We start from the raw sequence: 23,543 nt of genomic DNA, 5'->3' as shown, positions 1-23,543 counted from the left end.
AATTTTATGGGCTTGAGATCGTACAGTATGTATCATGCTGTTTCACACATCATAGATATTTACCAATTCAAAATCCCAAAGCTATATGAGTATTTTGATAACCAAGAATACACTACACCAACTCAATCTGTTAGAAAAAAATATAATCCTGCCTTTCTTGGGACAAAAATTTCATAGAAGCCAAAAATGATAACATGTCTCTAGATAAAAGCACCGGCAGAGTTCTGATTAAAATACTGAGTGTGCAGTTTTTTTTAGATATGTAAACTCATGTTTTCCATATTCATGAAGGGGCAAACAAAAGAAAAGGGTCTTACTACATTGAGTCAGATAGTATATCAGTGGATAAAAGAACACTTTTTTTTTTTTTTTGAGACAGGGTCTCACTCTGTCACCCAGGCAGGAGCGATTACAGGCGTGAGCCACTGCACCCGGCCTAAGAACACTTCTTAGCCACCAGAAGCAAGCTAAAACACCAAAATGGATTAAAAGGAGCACGTGAAATACTCATCAGCTCTTCAACAGCACGCCTGGAAAAGCGAGGTACTCACCTACGTAGAGGCGGGGGTTTCTGAGGAAGACAGTCTTTTCAAGGCTCCCTTTAGTTCTATGACCCGCTGTTGTTCAAGTACAAAATGTTAACTTTTAAGTCACTCAGAAAAATACAATACCCGTTAGGTACAGCTTTCTTAGACACTCACTTTTTGGTTAGCTCTTTGATTTTGTTCTGATTTCTCTGGTGCTGAACTTGTATTTCCTCAAGGTGAATCCGTCTGTCCTCGATGAGCCCTTCAATTTGTTCTCGAGAAAGTTTGGTCTGCTCTCCCAGCTGAGCCTGCAGTGCTTCCACCTAGACAGGCCAAAAAGGGGTGAGGAATCCAGCCCTACTTCCACTTACTTCATACCTCTAGGAAAAGTGAGCCTTTCTCCAGAAAAATTAAAAAACAAACACAAACAAAAACATCTCAATCCTAATCCTCTTGTTCATTTCAAGACAAGGTCTTGCTCTGTCCCCCAGGCTGGAGTGCAGTGGGCGTGATCATAGCTCACTGCAGCCTCAACCCCCTGGGCTCAAGCAGTCCTCCCTGCCTCAGCCTCCAGGACTACAGGTGTGTACCACCACACCCAGCTAATTTCATTTTTAATTTTTGTAGAGATGGGGTCTCACTATGTTGTCCAGGCTGGTCTCGAACTTTTGGGCTCCAGCAATCAACTCGCCTTGGCCTCCCAAAATGCTGGGATTACAGGCATTACTATGCCCAGCCCAGTTCCTCTTAATGTCTTATAAATGGGGTTAGGCTATACAAGAGTAGATTCTTTGTCCAAACGAAACCCAGCATCTACAACACACAAACAAAGCTACAAAATCCAGTTTTCTCACCCTGTGATTTTTGCCTTTTCACTATCTCCCTTGACTGTCTCCCTTTAAGACACCCTTCCTGCACAGAAGCAAAATGACTCTTTTCTTAGTTTTTGGTTTCAAAAAGCAGAGCAAAATGAATATAATGTAATTTCCTTCTCTGTGTCTGGTTGTCATGACTCCACATGGAGATACTGGCCAAAGGTAGAAACTGTCATTTAAATCAACAGAGATTTAACACAGTAAGGACAGAAACTTTAGTGCAACTAGATGAAAAATCATGGTTCCAAATGACACATAACCAGGAGGTAAGAGAACAGTTCATTACTTTCCTAGACTTTGGAACCTAAGCACTAAATAAATGAATATACCATCAAATGTTGATCTATCAGCATAGACAAGCTTCCCTCTGCAATCTCTGCATATCCCTAGGCCAGTGAATTCTTACCTTGTAATGGTTTTGGTGGATGGGGCTTAGTATATTGAATTGAAGGTTCAGAGTAGCACCTTAAGAATGTTCAAATAGAAAAGGATGGTTTCAAAATATAAGCTCTTAGAAATTAGGAACAATCTCAATTTTCTTAACCACATGATGCTTAGATGTAACCTGTGTGCAAGGAGATACTTATCACATGACACTGAGGGTATGTGACATAGAGCTGCACCTGTGGATAAAAGCCATCTTGGTCTGCCAAAATACATTCTTTACCTGTAGGATGAGTGTCTGTATGTCTCTTTGGTAATGCTCAGAACTTTCTTTTCTCTCTCTCGATGGTCTTCTTTTGCTTATTTTAGGATCTAAAATAGAAAACAAAATCCATCAAGAAGATTTTACTCAGCTTTTCTGTGTGCTATTGAAATATCAGTATTTCCCACGCAGAGGAGTTCAGATTCATTTACCTGTAAGGGTAATGAAGGGGTTCTCACTAATGAAGGGATTCGGAAGACAAAGGGAAACATCATAATCATAGTGCTTAACTTTTCAAATAGGAATCTCTATAAGGGAACTCTGCAGGATGTCACCTAAATAATCATATTCATCTTCTGGCAGAATCAACCACTAAATTTTCCTTAGAATCAACCACTAAAATAGTTGTGTCTATTTTCTTAGTAAATCCTATTCGATCAGAATAAGGCCAGGTGTTGTGGCTCATGCCTGTAATCTCAGTGCTTTGGGAGGCCAAAGCAGGACAATCACTTGAAGCCAGGAGTTCAAAACCAGCCTGAGTGACATAGTGAGAACCCCTTCCTACACAAAGTAAAATACAATACAATAAATTAGCCAGGTGTGGTGGCATATGCCTGTCGTCCTAGCTACTCAGGAGGTTGAGGTAGGAGAATCGCTTGAATCTGGGAGGCAGAGGCAGCAATGAGCCAAGATCGCGCCATTGCACTCCAGCCTGGGCAACAGGAGCAAAACTCTATCTCAAAAGAAAAAAAAAAAAAAAAAAGAACTGAGCAAAATTTAATTCCTTGGATGATTCAAGAAGCTCATTAAGACATTAGACCACCAAAGGCATCATTATGAACATCAATTATCACTGTACAGTAGGAAAACATTTCCAATTGTGTGTTCTGTTTTTTTTTTTTTTTTTTTGGAGATAGTCTTGCTCTGTCACGCAATGGCACGATCTCAGCTCACTGCAACCTCCGCCTCCCAGGTTCAAGAAATCCTCCTGCCTCAGCCTCCCAAATAGCTAGGATTACAGGCGCCTGCCACCACACCCGGCTAGTTTTTTGTATTTTATGTAGAGATGGGGTTTTGCCATGTTGGCCAGGCTGGTCTCGAACTCCTGACCTCAGGTGATCCACCAACCTCAGCCTCCCAAAGTGCTGGGATTACAGGCGTGAGCCACCGCGCCCAGCCTGCACTGTGATTTTCAATTCTGCATTGATGAGAATTTCTAATAGGTTATATGGTTGTTACCTGCTTTGAAAGCTGAAGATTCACTCTGCTCACATTCACCTACAGCCTGGATAGTCTTTTGGAGAATGGTGACCTGAAGAAGCAAAAACTGGTATTGAAGTAGCCTTCCTATAAACGTAATATTTTACTTTTCAGCCTTAGTTCTGCAGATTGAACACTAGAAGTTAAATTAGTCAAAACTGATATGATCATATAAGGATGTCATGCACATGACAGACCACACAGGCAAAGTAGCAAACTGGATAAAACCCTGTGTTGACAATATAAACTTAAAAAGGTAGGCCAGGTGTGGTGGCATGTGCCTGTGGTCCCCGCTACTCAGGAGGCTAAGGTGGGAGGATTGCTTAAGCTTAGGAGCTTAAGGCTGCAGTGAGTTATGATCACTCCACTGCACTCCAACCTGGGCAACAAAATGAGACTTTGTTTCTAAAAAAATAAAAATAAGGCCAGGTGCGGTGGCTCATGCCTATAATCTCAGCACTTTGGGAGGCCAAGGTGGGCGGATCACCTGAGGTCGGGAGTTCAAGACCAGCCTAACCAACATGGAGAAACCCCATCTCTATAAAAAATACAAAATTAGCCAGGCGTGGTGGCACATGCCTGTAATCCCAGCTACTCAGGAGGCTGAGGCAGGAGAATCACTTGAACCTGGGAGGCGGAGGTTGTGGTGAGCCGAGATTGCACCATTACACTCCAGCCTGGTGTACAAGAGCGAAACTCCATCTTGAAAAATAAATAAATAAATATAAATAAATAAACAAAATTGCAGGGCTATTTAGTAATATATGATTAAAAACAAAAACAAAAACAGCTTGGGGCACAGTGGTGCACCCCTGTAGTTCCAGCTACTTGGAAGGCTGGCTACAGTGGAAGGATGGTGCTTAAGCCCAGAAGTGTGAGTCCAGCCTAGGCAACATACCAAGACCTCAGCTCTAAAATTTTTTTAAAATTTTTATTGTTTTTTTAAAAGCAGCTCTTTGGTGGGTGTGGTGGCTCATGCCTGTAATCCCAGCACTTTGACAGGCCAAGGTGGGCGGACTGCTTGAGCTCAGGAGTTCGAGACCAGCCTGGGCAACATGGTGAAACCCCATCTCTGCAAAAAATACAAAAATTAGCTGGGCGTGGTGGTGTACACCTGTAGTCCCAGCTGCTTGGGAGGCTGAGGTGGGAGGAGTGCTTGAGCCCCAGAGCGGAGGTTGCAGTGAGCCGAGATTGCGCATTGCACTCCAACCTATGTAACAGAATGAGACTTTGTCTCAAAAAAAAAAAAAAAGTAGCTCTTGGCCAAGGACCTTTAGAAAACAGAAGTATACGTATACAGATATGTATAAAAATGCTCAGGAACTGTTTATAGAAGTGAAAAAATAGAAATAGTATACACAGACACATAACTATTTCTATAGGAATGAAGAAAGAGATGGAAGTATATACACCAAACTATTACTAATGGATTATCTCTGGGGTATAGGATTATGAGAACCTGCCACTTTTATATGATAGATTACTATACTCTGTGTTTGTTTTTAATAAAGACCATGGATTACATTTGTAATCAGTATAAACAAAGATTTAAAAAGAAACTTAAGCATCAAAACTTGCTCCCACACATAGTCTGCTCCTGCTTTCCTCTCTGTCTCAGCTAAAACAGCCACCCCTCTGTGCTTCAGGTTTCTAAACATTGAAATGGGGTAAATAATGCTACTTCCCAAGGTTTTCGAAGAAAAATGCTTTAAAAACTCAGGCAAACAAGGCACTGTGATGGCTAATTCTCCATCTGCCTTCTCCAGCGGATACTAAAGTTCTTCTGATGATGGGCCTTAGCCTGTGACTTGTAAAGCCACACTCACCATGCTACACCAAAGATTACTTACTTTGTGAGGAGGCTCCTTACAAAAATAGGTCACTTCTCCAGCATCTGTTCCCACAAGAGCCAAGAGATTCTGAATCTTTTTCTTGTCTTCTAGCTCCCTGCAATTCTCATGGAAAGCAAGCACATATTATTAAATGTCCCAAGTAAGTAACCTTTTTCTGTTTAAAGGATCTCCCTTCTATTTTTTTTTTAAAACAATTGTAACCCCAAATTAAAACAGTAACCTCAAATTAAAATTGAATAGTTTGTATCTAGACTTCAGCTCTACTTCGTAAAACATCAGGTATTTCCATTCAGAGAAAAGGGGCCAGGGCACTTCTTAGCTAATTCTTTTTTTTTTTTTTTTTTTTTTTTTTGAGACAGAGTCTCGCTCTGTTGTCCAGGCTGGAGTGCAATGGTGCGGTCTTGGCTCACTGCAACCTCCGCCTGCCGGGTTCACGCCATTCTCCTGCCTCAGCCTCCCGAGCACCTGGGACTACAGGCGCCCGCCACTATGCCCGGCTAATTTTTGTATTTTTAGTAGAGACAGGGTTTCACTGTGTTAGCCAGGAAGGTCCTGATCTCCTGACCTCGTGATCTGCCTGCCTCGGCCTCCCAAAGTGCTGGGATTACAGGCGGGAGCCACTGCGCCCGGCCACTTCTTAGCTAATTCTAAAAGGGAATGGTAGTGGCTGCTGAGGGTTACTGCTCAGATCTTGCTCTTCGGGGCTGATGGGCTCATTCTGCCAACTGCCAGGAATGCTGCCTGCTGATAGCTTGTAGTTGAATCCCCAGACAAGGGAACTGCCTCACCCAAGTTTCTGCCTCTCATTCCTCAGGGACAGCCCATATCCAGTGCCTGGTCAATGAGGAAACACAAAAATCCAATCCCCTTGCTCAGTTCAGGATATCTCTGAAGAGCCATCCCAGCTTCAGAGATCCCTATCGTGTTGGACGAGGCCTGCTGCAACTGAATCCCAGTTTAAGTTCCCTCACTTCCCAATAAAATTCCTGCAAGCAAATCTCCACTGTACAGTCTGTTTCCCAGAGAACTCAACCTAAGATAGCTTAGGTCTGGACTGGGCCAAGGAAGCAAACGCTAAAAAGGGATTTCGGGCCGGGTGTGGTGTTTCATGCCTGTAATCCCGGCACTTTGGGCTGAGGCAGGCGGATCACCTGAGGTCAGGAGTTCGAGACCAGCCTGGCCAACATGGTGAAACCTTGGTCTCTACTAAAAATGCAAAATTTATCTGGGCGTGGTGGCGTGCACCTGTAATCCCAGCTACTCAGGAGGCTGAAGCACAAGAATCACTTGAACCCGGGAGGTGGAGTTTGCAGTGAGCCAAGATTGCACCACCGCACTCTGGCCTGGGCGACAGAGCAAGACTCTGTCTCAAAAAAAAAAAAAAAAATTAATTAATTAAAAAAAACAACATAAAAAGGGATTTCAGAGCGACTTGATATGGAGATGGTTTACAGAACGTGGCGTTTCTAGCAGCAAGGTAGATGGGTAGTCAACAGAGTATAGCTCAAACAATAAAAGATAAGTCAAAGATGGAAAAGAGGCTGAGGGCTGCACCCCAAACAAAATCACAATCTCTGACTCGTTTTTCAGGCCCGAGTCCGTTTTTTTTTTTCTTTCCGAGGCAGAGTCTCGCTCTGTCGCCCAGGCTGGAGTGCAATGGCATGATCTCAGCTCACCGCAACCTCCGCCTCCTGGGTTCAAGCAATTCTCCTGCTTCAGCCTCCCGAGTAGCTGGGACTACAGGCGCATGCCACAATGCCCAGCTAATTTTTGTATTTTTAGTAGAGATGGGGTTTCACCATGTTGGCCAGGCTGGTCTTGAACTCCTGACCTCGTGATCTGCCCGCCTCAGCCACCCCAAAGTGCTGGGATTACCAGCCCCAAGTCAGTTTTAAGTCCTAGAGACAATTACCTAAAGAAGAGGCTGGAACTCCTAGAAGGTAAGACCCTGCGACACCACAGAGTAGATATTCATGGTAATGATTCCCCACATCCTCCAAAGGGTCTATAGCCATTTATTCAAGTAACTGTATACTGGGGAAGAGGAAAGACCTGGGCATTTTAAGGACTGCTGGATACAGGGTCTAAGCTGACACCGACACCAGATAACGTGAAGCATCATCATGGCACTGGGGCACGTGGGGACCATGGAATAAATGGAATTGTGGCCCACGTCCAACTCACAGCAGGTCTACTGGATCCACCAAATCAATGGGCATTTCTTCAGTTCCCAAATGCTTAAAATGGACATACTAGGTGGGGGACAGTACCTCCAAATTAGCTTCTTGGCTTCTGGGGCAAGCTAAGTGAAAGCCTCAGAAACTGCCCCTCCCTACCCAGTCAAGACGATCAATAAAGACCTAAAGAATGCAGAGGTGGAGGTCCTTATGAAAGCCTCATTTCATTCCTCAGTATGACCCATACAAAACCAGATGGATTCTGGAAGATAAGAGTAGACTACTACCCAGTAGGTCCCAATTTCAGTCATTGTGCCAGATGTAGCACCTTTGCTAGAAGAGAATTACTTAGTCTCAGGCACATGGTAAGTGGCCACTAATTAGGCAAATGGATTCTTTCCTACCCCTCAAAAGACCAGAGGCAGTTCACATCATGTGACATGGACAGCAGTGTGCTTTTATAGTCTTTCCCAGGGCCATGTTAACGCTTTTACTTTCTGTCAATACAGTATAAAAGAATCTGGGCTGGGCGCGGTAGCTCACACCTGTAATCCCAGCACTTTGGGAGGCCGAGGCGGGTGGACCACGAGGTCGGGAGTTCGAGACCAGCCTGTCCAAAATGGTGAAACCCCATCTCTACTAAAAAGTACAAAAATTAGCTGGGCGTGATAGCGTGCGCTGTAGTCCCAGCTACTCGGGAGGCTGAGGCAGGAGAATCACTTCAATCTGGGAGGCGGAGGTTGCAGTGAGCTGCGATCACGCCACTGCACTCCAGCCTGGGTGACAGACTGAGACGCCATCTCAAAAACAAACAAACAAACAAACAAAAACAAAAAAAAGAATCTGGATCTGGCTACTCCACAGATGGCCAGTAGCTCACTACTGATGATATCGCGTTAAATCAGACGGCATGAACAAGAAACAGCAAGTGCACGTGGTAAGATACGTGTGCTCGGGAGGGTTGCAGATGAACCTTACGAAGCACATGAGTGAAGTTTTTAAGGCTGTGATCCAGGTATCCCAGGATATTCCCTCCGATGTAAAGATCAAATTATTTCACCTGGTACATGCTACCACCAAGAAGGAAGCACAATGCCCGAAAGGAGACTTCAGGTTCTGGAGACAACATACTCCGCATTTTGGAATACTGCTCTGACCTATGTATCAACTGACATGGAAGGCGAGCTTTCGGTGTGGCCCAGAGTTGAAAGGATGCTCTGCTGCTTGGGACATCATTTGGCGGATCCTATGGTGTCTGTGGTGGCACAAGGTACCAGGTGGAGTTTACGGCAAGCACCACGACAAGAATCCTAACAGACCCTCTGAGAATCTGGAGCGAGACCATGCTGTCTACAGCTGAGAATGACAACATTTGAAAACCAGCTTCTGCCATGCTAGTAGATCCTGCTAAAAACGGAGCACTTGACCGTGGGACACCAAAAACCCACGTGGCGAGGCTGGGTGCGGTGGCTCACGCTTGACATCCCAGCACTTTGGGAGGCTGAGGAGGGCAGATTGCTTGAGCTCAGGACTTCGAGATCAGCCTGGGCAATATGGAAAAACCCTGTCTCTACAAAAAATACAAAAATTAGTCAGGTGTGTTGGCTCGTGCCTGTAGTCCCAGCTACTTGGAAGGATGAGGCAGGAGGATCACCTGAGCCTGGGAGGTGGAGGTTGCAGTGAGCCGAGATCGTGCCACTACATTCCAGCCTGGGTGACAGAGGGAGACCCTGTCTCAAAATAAAAATTAAAAAAAAAAAAAAAAAGAAAGAAACCATGTGGCTAAGTCTTCTCAACAAATGATGTTGAGAAAACTGGACATCCACATGCAAAATAATGAAGTTGGAACCTTACCTAATGCTGTATACAAAAATTAACTAAAAATGGATCAAAGACCTAGACGTAAGAGCTAAAATAATAAAACTTTCAGAAGAAAACATAGGAGAAAAGTTTCCTGACAATGAATCTGGCAATGATTTCTTGAATGTGATACCAAAAGCAGAAGCAACAAAATAAAAAAATACATAAATTGAACTTCATAAAAATTAAAAACTCCTGGCTCGGCATAGTGGTTCATTCCTGTAATCCTAGCACTTTGGGAGGCTGAAGCAGGAGGATCACTTGAGGTCAGAAGTTCAAGACCAGCCTAAGGAATATAGTGAGATCTGCCCTGTTTCTACAAAAAAATGAAAAAAAGAAAATAAATTAGCCAGGCATAGTGGTGCATGCCTATAATCCCAGCTACTCCAGAGGCTAAGGCAGGAGGATCACCCTGGCCGACAGAGTGATACCCTGCCCCTAAAAAAAAAAAAAAGAGGAGAAAATAAAAAGGCAATCTATGGAACAGGAGAAAATATTTGCATGCATCTGTATATCTAACAAAGGTTTAATATCCAGAATATATAATGAACTTCTATAGCCAGGCACGGTGGCTCACATCTATAATCCCAGCACTTTGGGAGGGTGAGGTGAGGATCACTTGAGCTCAGGAGTTTGAGACCAGCCTGGGCAACATCGCGAAACTCTGACTCTACCAAAAATACAAAAATTAGCCAGGTGTAGTGGCACATGCCTGTAGTCCCAGCTACTCAGGAGGCTGACATGGGAGGACAGCTTGAGCCCAGCAGACAAAGGTTGCAGTGAGCCGTGATCACGCCACTGCCTGGGCGACAGAGCAAGACCCTGTCTCAACAACAAAAAAGAACTTCAACTCAACAACAAAAACAACCCAATTATTAAAATGGGCAAAATATTTGAATAGACATTTCTCCAAAGAAGATATATAAATGGCACAAGAAAGATGCTCAACATTTAAAAATGCAAATCAAAACCACAATGAGACTCCCTCACACCCATTAAGACGGTTACTATCAAATAAACAGAAAATAAGGCTGGGCACAGTGGCTCACGCCTGTAATCCTAACACTTCGGGAAGCCAAGGTGGGCAAATCGCTTGAGCCCAGGAGTGTGAGACCAGCCTGGGCAAAACGGGGAAACCCCATCTCTTCAAAAGATACAAAAATTAGCCAAGCACAGTGGTGCGCACCCATGGTCCCAACTAACTGGGAGGCTGAGGTTGGGGGGATCATCTGAGCCTGGGAGGTTGAGGCTGCAGTGAGCTGTGATCATGCCGCTGCACTCCAGCCTGGGTGACTGAGCAAGACCCTGTCTCAAAAAAAAAAAAAAAAAAACAAAACAAAAAAAAACACAAAAAACACAAAAAACACCCAGAAAATAACAAGTGTTGGCCAGGCATGGTGGCTCATGCCTGTAATCCCAGCACTTTGGGAGGCTGAGGCAGGAGGATTGCTTGAGCTCAGGAGTTTGAGACCAGCCTGGGAAACATGGTGAAACCTTGTCTCCACAAAAAAAAAAAATATATATATATATAAAAATTAGCTGGGCATGGCAGCACATGCATGTAGTCACAGCTACTTGGAGGCTGAAGTGCAAGGATCACCTGAGCCTAGGAGGTAGGTAAAGGCTGCAGTGAGGCAAGATCATGCCACTGCACTCCAGCCTGGGTGACAGAGTGAGACCCTGTCTCAAAAAAAAAAAAAAAAAAAAAAAAGGCTTAAAAGAAAAAAAAAAGAAAATAACAGGTATTGTCAAGGATGTGGAGAAACTGAAACCCTTGTGCACTGCTGGTGGGAATATAAAATGGTATAAACACTATGGAAAATAGTATGGCAGTTACTCAAAAAAATAAAAACAGAATTACAATGTGATCTACTGCTGGGTATATACACAAAAGAATTAAAAGTAAGGTCTCAGCCGGGCACAGTAGCACACACCTGTAATCCCAGCACTCTGGGAGGCTGAGGCAGACAGATCACTTGAGCTTGGAAGTTGGAGACCAGCCTGGGCCACATGGCAGAACCCTGTCTCTACAGAAATTACAAAAAAAATTAGCCAGACATGTTGGCACACACCTGTAGTCCCAGTTACTCAAGAGGCTGAGGTGGGTGGACAGCTTCAGTTTGGAAGGCGGAGGTTACAGTGAGCTGAGCTCCACTGGTGGATGAATGGATAAACACAATGTGGTACACACATATAATGGAATATTGTTCAGTCTTAAAAAGGAAGAAAATTCTGACACATGCTACAACATGGATGAACCTTGAAGACATTACGCTGAGTGAAATAAGCATAACAAATACTGTATGATTCCACTTACGTGAGGCACCTAAAATCGTCAAATTCATGGAGACGAAAAGTAGCATAGTGTGTTCCAGGAACTGGGGTAACGGGGATGTGGGAGTTACTGTTGAATGAGTATACAATTTCAGTTTAGGAATATGAAAATGTTCTGGAGTTCAATGATGTTGACAGTTGTGCAACAACGTGAATATACTTAATGCCACTGAACCGTACACTTCAGATGGCTAAAATGGTGAACTTTTTGCTATGTGTGTTTTACCCTCTCACTCCCAGCACACACACACAGAAGAGCACTGTAATGGAGCATGGAGTGTGCTGCTATGTGTGTATTTACCCTCTCACTCCCAGCACACACACACAGAAGAGCACTGTAATGGAGCATGGAGTGTGCTGCTATGTGTATTTTACCCTCTCACTCCCAGCACACACACACAGAAGAGCACTGTAATGGAGCATGGAGGGTGCTGCTATGTGTGTTTACCCTCTCACTCCCAGCACACACACACAGAAGAGCACTGTAATGGAACATGGAGGGTGCTGCTATGTGTATTTTACCCTCTCACTCCCAGCACACACACACAGAAGTGCACTGTAATGGAACATGGAGTGTGCTGCTATGTGTGTATTTACCCTCTCACTCCCAGCACACACACACAGAAGCGCACTGTAATGGAACATGGAGTGTGCTGCTATGTGTGTATTTACCCTCTCACTCCCAGCACACACACACAGAAGAGCACTGTAATGGAGCATGGAGTGTGCTGCTATGTGTATTTTACCCTCTCACTCCCAGCACACACACACAGAAGAGCACTGTAATGGAGCATGGAGGGTGCTGCTATGTGTGTTTACCCTCTCACTCCCAGCACACACACACAGAAGTGCACTGTAATGGAGCATGGAGTGTGCTGCTATGTGTATTTTACCCTCTCACTCCCAGCACACACACACAGAAGTGCACTGTAATGGAGCATGGAGGGTGCTGCTATGTGTGTTTTACCCTCTCACTCCCAGCACACACACACAGAAGAGCACTGTAATGGAACATGGAGGGTGCTGCTATGTGTGTTTACCCTCTCACTCCCAGCACACACACACAGAAGAGCACTGTAATGGAACATGGAGGGTGCTGCTATGTGTATTTTACCCTCTCACTCCCAGCACACACACACAGAAGTGCACTGTAATGGAACATGGAGTGTGCTGCTATGTGTGTATTTACCCTCTCACTCCCAGCACACACACACAGAAGCGCACTGTAATGGAACATGGAGTGTGCTGCTATGTGTGTATTTACCCTCTCACTCCCAGCACACACACACAGAAGAGCACTGTAATGGAGCATGGAGTGTGCTGCTATGTGTATTTTACCCTCTCACTCCCAGCACACACACACAGAAGAGCACTGTAATGGAGCATGGAGGGTGCTGCTATGTGTGTTTACCCTCTCACTCCCAGCACACACACACAGAAGTGCACTGTAATGGAGCATGGAGTGTGCTGCTATGTGTATTTTACCCTCTCACTCCCAGCACACACACACAGAAGTGCACTGTAATGGAGCATGGAGGGTGCTGCTATGTGTGTTTTACCCTCTCACTCCCAGCACACACACACAGAAGAGCACTGTAATGGAACATGGAGGGTGCTGCTATGTGTGTTTACCCTCTCACTCCCAGCACACACACACAGAAGTGCACTGTAATGGAGCATGGAGGGTGCTGCTATGTGTGTTTACCCTCTCACTCCCAGCACACACACACAGAAGTGCACTGTAATGGAGCATGGAGGGTGCTGCTATGTGTGTTTACCCTCTCACTCCCAGCACACACACACAGAAGTGCACTGTAATGGAACATGGAGTGTGCTGCTATGTGTATTTTACCCTCTCACTCCCAGCACACACACACAGAAGTGCACTGTAATGGAACATGGAGTGTGCTGCTATGTGTATTTTACCCTCTCACTCCCAGCACACACACACAGAAGAGCACTGTAATGGAGCATGGAGGGTGCTGCTATGTGTATTTTACCCTCTCACTCCCAGCACACACACACAGAAGTGCACTGTAATGGAGCATGGAGTGTGCTGCTATGTGTATTTTACCCTCTCACTCCCAGCACACACACACAGAAGTGCACTGTAATGGAGCATGGAGGGTGCTGCTATGTGTGTTTTACCCTCTCACTCCCAGCACACACACACAGAAGAGCACTGTAATGGAACATGGAGGGTGCTGCTATGTGTGTATTTACCCTCTCACTCCCAGCACACACACACAGAAGTGCACTGTAATGGAACATGGAGGGTGCTGCTATGTGTGTATTTACCCTCTCACTCCCAGCACACACACACAGAAGTGCACTGTAATGGAACATGGAGGGTGCTGCTATGTGTGTTTACCCTCTCACTCCCAGCACACACACACAGAAGTGCACTGTAATGGAGCATGGAGGGTGCTGCTATGTGTGTTTACCCTCTCACTCCCAGCACACACACACAGAAGTGCACTGTAATGGAACATGGAGTGTGCTGCTATGTGTATTTTACCCTCTCACTCCCAGCACACACACACAGAAGTGCACTGTAATGGAACATGGAGTGTGCTGCTATGTGTATTTTACCCTCTCACTCCCAGCACACACACACAGAAGTGCACTGTAATGGAACATGGAGTGTGCTGCTATGTGTATTTTACCCTCTCACTCCCAGCACACACACACAGAAGTGCACTGTAATGGAACATGGAGTGTGCTGCTATGTGTATTTTACCCTCTCACTCCCAGCACACACACACAGAAGTGCACTGTAATGGAACATGGAGTGTGCTGCTATGTGTATTTTACCCTCTCACTCCCAGCACACACACACAGAAGAGCACTGTAATGGAGCATGGAGGGTGCTGCTATGTGTGTTTTACCCTCTCACTCCCAGCACACACACACAGAAGAGCACTGTAATGGAGCATGGAGGGTGCTGCTATGTGTGTTTACCCTCTCACTCCCAGCACACACACACAGAAGTGCACTGTAATGGAACATGGAGTGTGCTGCTATGTGTATTTTACCCTCTCACTCCCAGCACACACACACAGAAGAGCACTGTAATGGAACATGTAGTGTACTGCTATGACTCCTTCTTGTGACCATATCTCCCAGGAGCTCAGTTTTTCTCTGAAAAATGACACTTGGCTGAAGGGGGCTTCTTCTCCCAAGTTTACATACCCTCCCTGGGGACTACCTGCATCCTATGACTGGTCAATGTGGGGACACAAAATTCTCAGTCCTTTGCTGCCGAAAGACCACCCTATCCTTAGTGCTCCCTATGGGGGTTGGTTAAGGCTTCTGTTACCACAGTATCCGTTCATATTCTACCTCTGCCCAAATCTGCTCATAGCTATTATTCCAGAGAGCTTCTCCAGTAACTACCGTGAAGGCAAATCTCCATCTCAGAGTCCACTTCCTAGAGAATACAACCTAAGAGAATTAATGTGGAGAAATGTATCTTTTTAAAAGTAATTTAAAGGGCTGGGCATGGTGGTTCACGCTTGTAATCCCAACACTTCGGGAGGCTGAGGTGGGCGGATCACTTGAGGCCAAGAGTTCGAGACCAGCGTGGCTGACAGGGCAAAACCCCATCTCCACTAAAAATACAAAAATGAGCTAGGCCTTGTAGTGCACACCTGTGTTCCCAGCTACTCGAGAGGCTGAGGCATGAGAATCGCTGGAACCAGGAGGTGGAGGCTGCAGTGAGCCAAGAGAGCGCCACTGTACTCCAGCCTGGGCAATAGAGTGATACTGCCTCTAAATCAATGAATGAATGAATGAATGAATGAATGAATGTAATTTAAAGTTAAACTCCAACATTTCCCTTCTCCTATTTGGTACCTGATTCTCAGTCGGTCATTTTCTGAGTAGAGGCGTAAAACATGTTCCCGTTCCTGGAAGAGGCAGACCTGCATATCACTTAGAGCTTTCTGCAATTCAGCAATCTCTTCCTCCCTCTGCTGCAAATCACATTCAAGTTTATGCTGCAAAAAAACCACAATAAGATAGTTGAAAGACACTGGGTTTCAATGGAGTATCTCTCACTGGATAGGGAGGAGTCTACTCATGTAGAAATATTCCAAAGTAAATAATTTTGCCAATACAGAATTCAAATGACAGCAATAGGCATGTATAGACTGGAGTTTGTTTGTTTTTTTATTTATTGAGACCAAGTCTTGCTCTGTTGCCCAGGCTGTAGTGCAGTGGCACGATCTCAGCTCACTGCAACCTCCACCTTCTAGGTGATTCTTGTGCCTCAGCCTCCCGAGTAGCTGAGATTACAGGTGCATGCCACCATGCCCGGCTAATTTTTGTATTTTTAGTAGAGATGGGGTTTCGCCATGTTGGGCAGGCTAGTCTCAAACTCCTGACCTCAAGTGATCCACCCGCCTCAGTCTCCCAAAGTACTGGGATTATAGGCACGAGCCACCATGCCCAGCCTTGACTGGAGTTTAACAGCTACAGGATGAGTGTGAAGTTTGCATTTAACATCAAAGCTCTCACATCTTCCTTTTACAGACTATAGAATCCAGAATGCTGTACGACTCACCTATTCTATCCACACTTTTTTTTTTTGAGACAGAGTCTCACTCTGTCGCCCAGGCTGGAATGCGGTGGCATGATCTTAGCTCACTGCAACCTCCACCTCCCAGGTTCAAGTGATTCTTCTGTCTCAGCCTCCTGAGTAGCTGGGATTACAGGTGTGCACCACGCCCAGCTAATTTTAGTAGAGACGGGGTTTCACCATTTTGGCCAGGCTGGCTTGAACTCCTGAGCTCAGGCAATCCACCCACCTTGGCCTCCCAAAGTGCTGGGATTACAGGCGTGAGCCACCACACCTAGCCTATCCACACTTTTTTAGTAATGTTTCCTATATCATAAGCATTATTATGACATGCAGGAAAACAAAGATGAAAAGATACGATTCCTGTCTACAGAGCTACGGAATTTCATGGGGAGAGAGGCAAATGATTAAAATAAAATAATTACTTCATGAAAGCATGCATGGTGAAATGGTGTGGGGGAAAGCGTGGCAGGAATAAACATTCTGAGATCTGTTTGGGAAATCAAAGCGCTACCACCCAAGAGCTGACACTTGACAGATGAACAGAAGATGGGTAGAGAGAGAAGCAGACAGTTGGTACTCCAAGAAAAGAGAACTGTAAATAAGAACCATGAGAGAGCCTGATGTTGTCAGAAAGGAAGACAATCTCATCACATGCTACAACACAGACGAAACTTGAGGACATTATGCTAAGTGAAATAAGTCAGTTACAAAAAGAAAAACTACAGTATGATTCCACTCTATTCTAAATAAATCCTGCTCTATTTTTTTTTTTTTTTTGAGACAGAGCCTTGCTCTGTCGTCCAGGCTGGAATGCAGTGGTGTGATCTCAGCTCACTGCAACCTCCACCTCCTTGGCGATTCTTCTGCCTCAGCCTCCTAAGTAGCTGGGACTACAGGTATGTGCCACCACGCCTAGCTAATTTTTGTATTTTTAATAGAGACAGGTTTTGCCATGTTGGTCAGGCTGGTCTCGAACTCCTGACCCCAGGTGATCCGCCGGCCTCGAACTCCTGACCCCAGGTGATCCGCCGGCCTCGGCCTCCCAAAGTGCTGGGATTACAGGCACGAGCCACCATGCCTGACAAATCCTGCTCTATTTCTAATTCATAGAAATAGCAAGTAAAATAGTGGTTACAGGGAGTGTGGGGAGAAATGATCTGTTTAATGGGATGGAGTTTTGGTTTTGTAAAATGAAAACGTTCTAGAGATCAGTCACACAACAATGTGAATATACTTAACACGCCAGGCGTGGCAGATCACTTGAGGCCACGAGTTCAAGACCAGCCTGACCAACATGGCAAAACCCCATCTCTACCAAAAAAACAAAAATCAGCTGAGTGTGGTGGCGCACCCTATAATCCCAGCTACTTGGGAGGCTGAGGCAGGACAATTGCTTAAACCCAGGAAGCGGAGGTTGCAGGGAGCTGAGATGGCACCACTGCACTCTAGCCTGGGTGAAAGAGCCAGACTGCCTCCAAAAAAAAAAAAAAGAAATATATATATATATATATATATATATATATATATATATACACACACACACACACACACACACACACACACACCCCCACACACCCACAGACTCACACACACACACACACATAAACACTTAACACTACTCAACTGAACACTTAAAATTGGGCAAGGTCATTAAAAATAATTTCATAAAGGCTGGGCACAGTGACTCACGCCCGTAATCCCAACACTTTGGGAGGTTAAAGTGGGAGGATGGCTTGAGCCCAGGAGTTCAAGACCATCCTAGACAACAGAGCGAGATTCTGTCTTTACAAAAAATAAAAAATTGGGCAGGGTGCAGTGGCTCACACCTGTAATCTCAGCACCTTGGGAGGCCGAGCCAGATGGGTCATCTGTGGTCAGGCGTTCAAGACCACCCTGGCCAACATGGTGAAATCCAGTCCCTACTAAAAGTACAAAAATTAGCCGGGCATGGTGGTGGGCGCCTATAATCCCAGCTACTCAGGAGGCTGAGGCAGGAGAATTGCTTGAACCTGGGAGGCGGAGGTTGTAGTGAGCCGAGATTGTGCCACTGCACTCCAGCCTGGGTGACAAGAGCAAGACTTCATCTCAAAATAAAATAAAAAATAAAAAATTAGCTGGGCATGGTGATACATGCCTGTAGTCCCAGCTACTTGGGAGGCTGAGGCAGGCGGATTGCTTGAGTCCAGGACGTTGAGGCTGCAGTGAGCTATGATCGCACCACTGCACTCCAGCCTGGGCAACAGGGCAAGACCCTAACTCAAAAAACAAAAAACAAAAAACCCAGAGGTCTATAGATACATACATAATGTGATAAAAATATTTATTACATTTTTATTAACATATTATTATGTTAATAATATCAACATATTATTATGTTAATAATTATGTTAATATTAACATATTATGTTAATAATTATGTTAATAATATCAACATATTATTATGTTAATAATTATGTTAATATTAACATATTATTATGTTAATTATGTTAATAATATCAACATATTATGTTGATTATATTAACATAATATTATGTTGATTATATTAACATAATATTATGTTGATTATATTAACATAATATTATGTTGATTATATTAACATAATATTATGTTGATTATATTAACATAATATTATGTTAATAATTATGTTAATAAATATTAACAACTGATTCAGAGAAAGGGAGAGCATACAAGTCCACAGTGGAACTCAAAAGGTTGGAAACACTTTTTTTGTAGAATCTACAAAAACAATTAGGCTGGGCACGGTGGCTCACACTGTGTCCCAGTAAATGTATTCAGAGATGCTGCATCACTGCCATCTGGCAACCAGCTCCCATCCTGAAGCTATCCAGGAGCCCAAATGGAATGAATTACCCTGTAATTCATTGTATACATACATAATGTGATAAAAATGACAAGTAAACCTCCAAAAAACAAAAGCCTATTAAATTTGGACAAGTACAAATATTTCAGTACTGCTAGAGTGAAAAGTGTGAGGCCAACTGGGGATGTAAGAGGCCAGAGGCAGGTACTGGCAAGGAGGACACCGTCACAGTTTAGACGCAACTCAAGGGTCTGTGTGAGCATCGTGGCCAAAGTGAGGTGGGTGTGGGAATGGATTAAGTAATATTTAGGAAGCAGAATCAACAGGACTTGCCAAATGATTCGGTTTAGGGGGACTGGAAGAACCGTAGGCAATGATGCCATTTGCCAAGACAAAGAATAAAGAAAAAGTTAAGGCATGAGAAACGGAGGAAGGCGAAATGGTGGCAGTACATGTGCGGGTGGGGAAGGGAGGGTAGAGAAAGGAGCCTCAGGAGAAAAGTGAGTCAGGGTTAGTTATTTAACAGTCATCATCCCGTATGCAGAAGTGTAATACAAGGATAAAACAAGGTCATTTATAGTAGAATCTGGAAGAACTCTGAAATTTAAGAGTAAGGAAAGAGAGTTGTTAATGGACACTGAGATGAGCTGATCAGAGAGGTTAGATAGAAATTGTGAAAGAAAAATGACACAGAAATCAAGAAAGGAGGCCAGGCTCACGCCTGTAATCCCAGCACTTCAGGAGGCCAAGGCAAGCGGATCACAAGGTCAGGAGTTTGAGATGAGCTTGGCCAACATGGTGAAAACCCACCTCTACTAAAAATACAAAAATTAGTTAGGTGTGGTGGTGGGCACCTATAATCCCAGCTATTTGGGAGGCTGAGGTAGGAGAATCGTTTGAACCCGGGAGACAGGGGTTGCAGTGAGCCGAGATTGTGCCATTGCACTCCAGCCTGGCAGACAGGGTGAGACTCCGTCTCAAAAAAAAAAAAAAGGAAATCAAGAAAGGAAGAAAATTTTAGAAAAAGAGAGGTCAAAAGTGACAGACACTGCAAAGGGCAAAAAGAGAAAAGTTTGGTAAACAGGTATTTGGAGACCGCAGACGGCACGGTTTTAGTGGCATGGCAAGGACCGAGATGAAACTGCAGTCAAGACATTTCCCAGCTGGGCGCGGTGGCTCACGCCTGTAATCCCAGCACTTTGGAAGGCCGAGGCAGGCAGGTTGCCTGAACTCAGGTGTTTGAGACCAGCCTGGGCAACACAGTGAAACCCTGCCTCTACTAAAATACAAAAAATTAGCCAGGTGTGGTGGCGTGCACCTGTAATCCCAGCTACTCGGGAGGCTGAGGCAGGAGAATTGCTTGAACCCAGGAGGCAGAGCTTGCAGTGAGCTGAGGTTGCGTCACTGCACTCCAGCCTGGGCGACAGAGCGAGACTCCGTCTCAAAAAAAAAAAAAAAAAAATCCCATTCAGTGAATGGGAAAGTCAAAAGATTCTGGAAGTGTGACTGGGAAAAGAAAGAGCCATTTATATAAAAAGAGTAGCTAGAGAGGCCGGGCGCAGTGGCTCATGCCTGAAATCCCAGCACTTTAGGAGGCCGAGGCGGGTGGATCACGAGGTCAGGCGATCGAGACCATCCTGGCTAACACGGTGAAACCCTGTCTCTACTAAAAAAATACAAAAAAATTAGCTGGGCATGGTGGCAGGCACCAGTAGTCCCAGCTACTCGGGAGGCTGAGGCAGGAGAATGGCGTGAACCCGGGAGGCGGAGCTTGCAGTGAGCTGAGATCGCGCCACTGCACTCCAGCCTGGGCGACAGAGTAAGACGCTGTCTCAAAAAAACAAAAAAACAGGCCGGGCACGGTTGCTCACTCCTGTAATCCCAGCACTTTGGGAGGCCGAGGTGGGCAGATCACGAGGTCAGGAGATTGAGACCATCCTGGCTAACACGGTGAAACCCCGTCTCTACTAAAAGTACAAAAAATTAGCCAGGCATGGTTGCGGGCGCCTGCAGTCCCAGCTACTCGGGAGGCTGAGGCAGGAGAATGGCATGAACCCGGGAGGCGGAGCTTGTGGTGAGCTGAGATCGCGCCACTGCACTCCAGCCTGGGCGACAGAGCGAGACTCCGTCTCAAAAAAAAAAAGAAAAGCAACCAGAGAAAAAACAAAGGAAGGAAGAAGGAGATAGATACGGATGGAGTAACGGTGTGCAGATGGCAGAAAAGATGTTGAGAGAGGAGGGCTAAGAAGGGGTTGCAGGCTAGAGGTGAGGGTATGGCACAGATGTGGAAGGAGAGGAAAGCCAGTAAGGATAGGTGAGAAGACTGCTGTATAATGGTTGAGGGTACAGCTGAATTTGTTTACCATCGATTCATTCTGTACTGATTTGTGACCTTTCTACAACAGTGTTCTCAATCAGGAGTGACTCTGCACATCCATACACCCATTCCAGAAACATCTGGCAATGTCTGGAGAGATTCTTGATTGTCACAGCTGGGGGTGTTGTGTTACTGGCATCCAGCGGGTAGAGGCCAGGGATCCTGCTAAACATCCCATCACGCACAGGACAACCCCTCACAACAAAGAATCATCCAGGCCAAAATGTCAATAATGCCGAGGTTAAGAAATCCTGCTATAGGAGAACACGTGGCAGAGAACTGGATGATGCCACAGCTCAGTTTTTGCTATGCAGGTGGAGCAGAAGAATAATTGAGCAAGGGGTCATTTGCAGGCACTGCAGTTACTACTCAAGTAAAGCATCATGGGGTTTAGGTTTGAAGGACTTGATATCAGAGCTATATACAGCACTCAGAAAACTGAAAAGTCAGGAAGCTATGGAGGTAACAAAGAAGTTAAGGACTACTCAGGTACAAGGAGATGAAAGAACTAGGTATAAGAGATATGGAGATGTCAGAATTTAAGATTTGAGAGGAAGGGCAGTTTTGGGGGTTATGATCCAAGGAGGGCCTGAAGGGGCAATAGCTGGGCTGGGGAATAAAAAAGGAGTATTTTTATAAAACATCTGCTTCTGATATAAACTGGCACTTGTAGGGCATCTCTAATTTATGAAGACTCCATCAGAGTTCTAAAGCAGCAGCATCGTTTCTTTACCTGTCCTTCACAAGCTTCTTTGTAGAGTTCCAGTTTCTTCAGCAAGTCCTCATTTTCTGCCTCACACTCAGCCATCTTCTTTTGATAATATTCCAGGAGCTCCTTAGAAGGATGGAGTTTGGCCAGACGATCTTCGGGGGAAGGCAAGGGGGTTGACTCCAGTGAATCTGCCATTCCCCTCCTCTTGGTGGGACCACTGACGGCAACACCACGTTTGGAGACAACTGTTCGCCTACGTGAAATTAGAAATGATATATTCATCACACTCTGCGAAAGTTTATGAGTTATAACTTCCTAAATAAAAGGGGGTTTTGTGTTCCCAAAGTGCTTATAATTAAGGTGCTCATAAATTTGGAAGTTTGGACAGGCATAGTGGCTCATGCCTGTAATCCCAGCACTTTTGGAGGCCAAGGTGGGAGAATCACTTGAGCTCAGGGGTTCAAGACCAGCCTGGGCAATATAGTGAAACCCTGTCTTTATTTAAAAAAAAAAAAATCTTGGCCGGGCGTGGTGGCTCACACCTGTAATCCTAGCACTTTGGGAGGCCAAAGCAGGCAGATTGCCTGAGCTCAGGAGTTCGAGACCAGCCTGGGCAACATGGTGAAACCCCGTCTCTACCAAAATACAAAAATAAAAAATGAGATGGGTGTGGCAGTGCACGCCTGTAGTTCCAGCTACTCGGGAGGCTGAGGCAGGAGAATCGCTTGAACCTGGGAGGCAGAGGTTGCAGTGAGTCGAGATCATGCCATTGCACTCCAGCCTGGCGACAGAGCGAGACTCTATCTCAAAAAAAAAAAACAAATTGAAAGTTTGATATTACAGGATAGTAAATAATTTTATTAATTATCTTCCAAGTACTAATGGTTTAAAGCTGGATTCAAAATACATGTTAGAGCCAGGAATGGTGGCACAGCTGAGTAGCTGAGCAGTCCCAGCTACTCAGGGGGCTGAGGTGGGAGGATCGCTTGAGCCTAGGAGTTCCAGTCCAGCCTGGGCAACATAGCAACACCTTGTCTCTAAAGTAAAAATAAAATCCATTAGAGACGAAAAAGATAATTTAAAAAAACAGAATATAAACTAAGGGAGACCATGTAGTAACAATTAGAAAATGTAGTACCATAAGACATATTGCAGGCCGGGTGCAGTGGCTCATGCCTGTAATCCGACCACTTTGGGAGGCCAAGGCGGGCAAATTAGTTGAGGTCAGGAGTTCAAGACCAGCCTGGCCAACATAGTGAAACCTAGTCTCTACCAAAAATACAAAAATTAGCCGGGCCTGGTGGCACGCGTGTGTAATCCCAGCTACTCTGGAGGCTGAGGCAGAATAATTGCTTGAACGCAGGAGGCAGGTTCAAGTGCCGAGATCACGCCACTCCAGACCAGCCTGGCCAACATAGCGGAACCTAGTTTCTACCAAAAATACAAAAATTAGCCTGTAATCCCACCACTTTGGGAGGCCAAGGTGGGCAGATTACTTGAGGTCAGGAGTTCAAGACCA

General features: G+C 45.1%; 1 protein-coding gene across 4 annotated transcripts in view; it reads right to left on the bottom strand.

Annotated features, from left to right (window-relative positions):
- CCDC77 (coiled-coil domain containing 77) overlaps positions 1–23,543 on the bottom strand; it is a 53,296-nt gene that overhangs the window by 8,619 nt on the left and 21,134 nt on the right. For all 4 annotated transcript variants that reach the window (NM_001130147.2, NM_001130148.2, NM_032358.4 and 1 more), the window contains 6 exons: positions 22,046–22,277; positions 15,388–15,530; positions 5,159–5,255; positions 3,288–3,360; positions 2,070–2,158; positions 702–850 (listed from right to left, as the gene is read on the bottom strand). In NM_001130147.2, the coding sequence (NP_001123619.1) occupies positions 702–850; positions 2,070–2,158; positions 3,288–3,360; positions 5,159–5,255; positions 15,388–15,530; positions 22,046–22,219 (725 nt within the window). In that variant the 5' untranslated portion in view covers positions 22,220–22,277. The remainder of the gene's footprint in view (positions 1–701; positions 851–2,069; positions 2,159–3,287; positions 3,361–5,158; positions 5,256–15,387; positions 15,531–22,045; positions 22,278–23,543) is intronic.

The sequence above is a fragment of the Homo sapiens genome, chromosome 12 (genome assembly GCF_000001405.40).
Source record: "Homo sapiens chromosome 12, GRCh38.p14 Primary Assembly".
In the NCBI taxonomy this organism is placed as follows: domain Eukaryota; kingdom Metazoa; phylum Chordata; class Mammalia; order Primates; family Hominidae; genus Homo; species Homo sapiens.
This window is presented reverse-complemented; position numbering and strand designations above follow the sequence as displayed.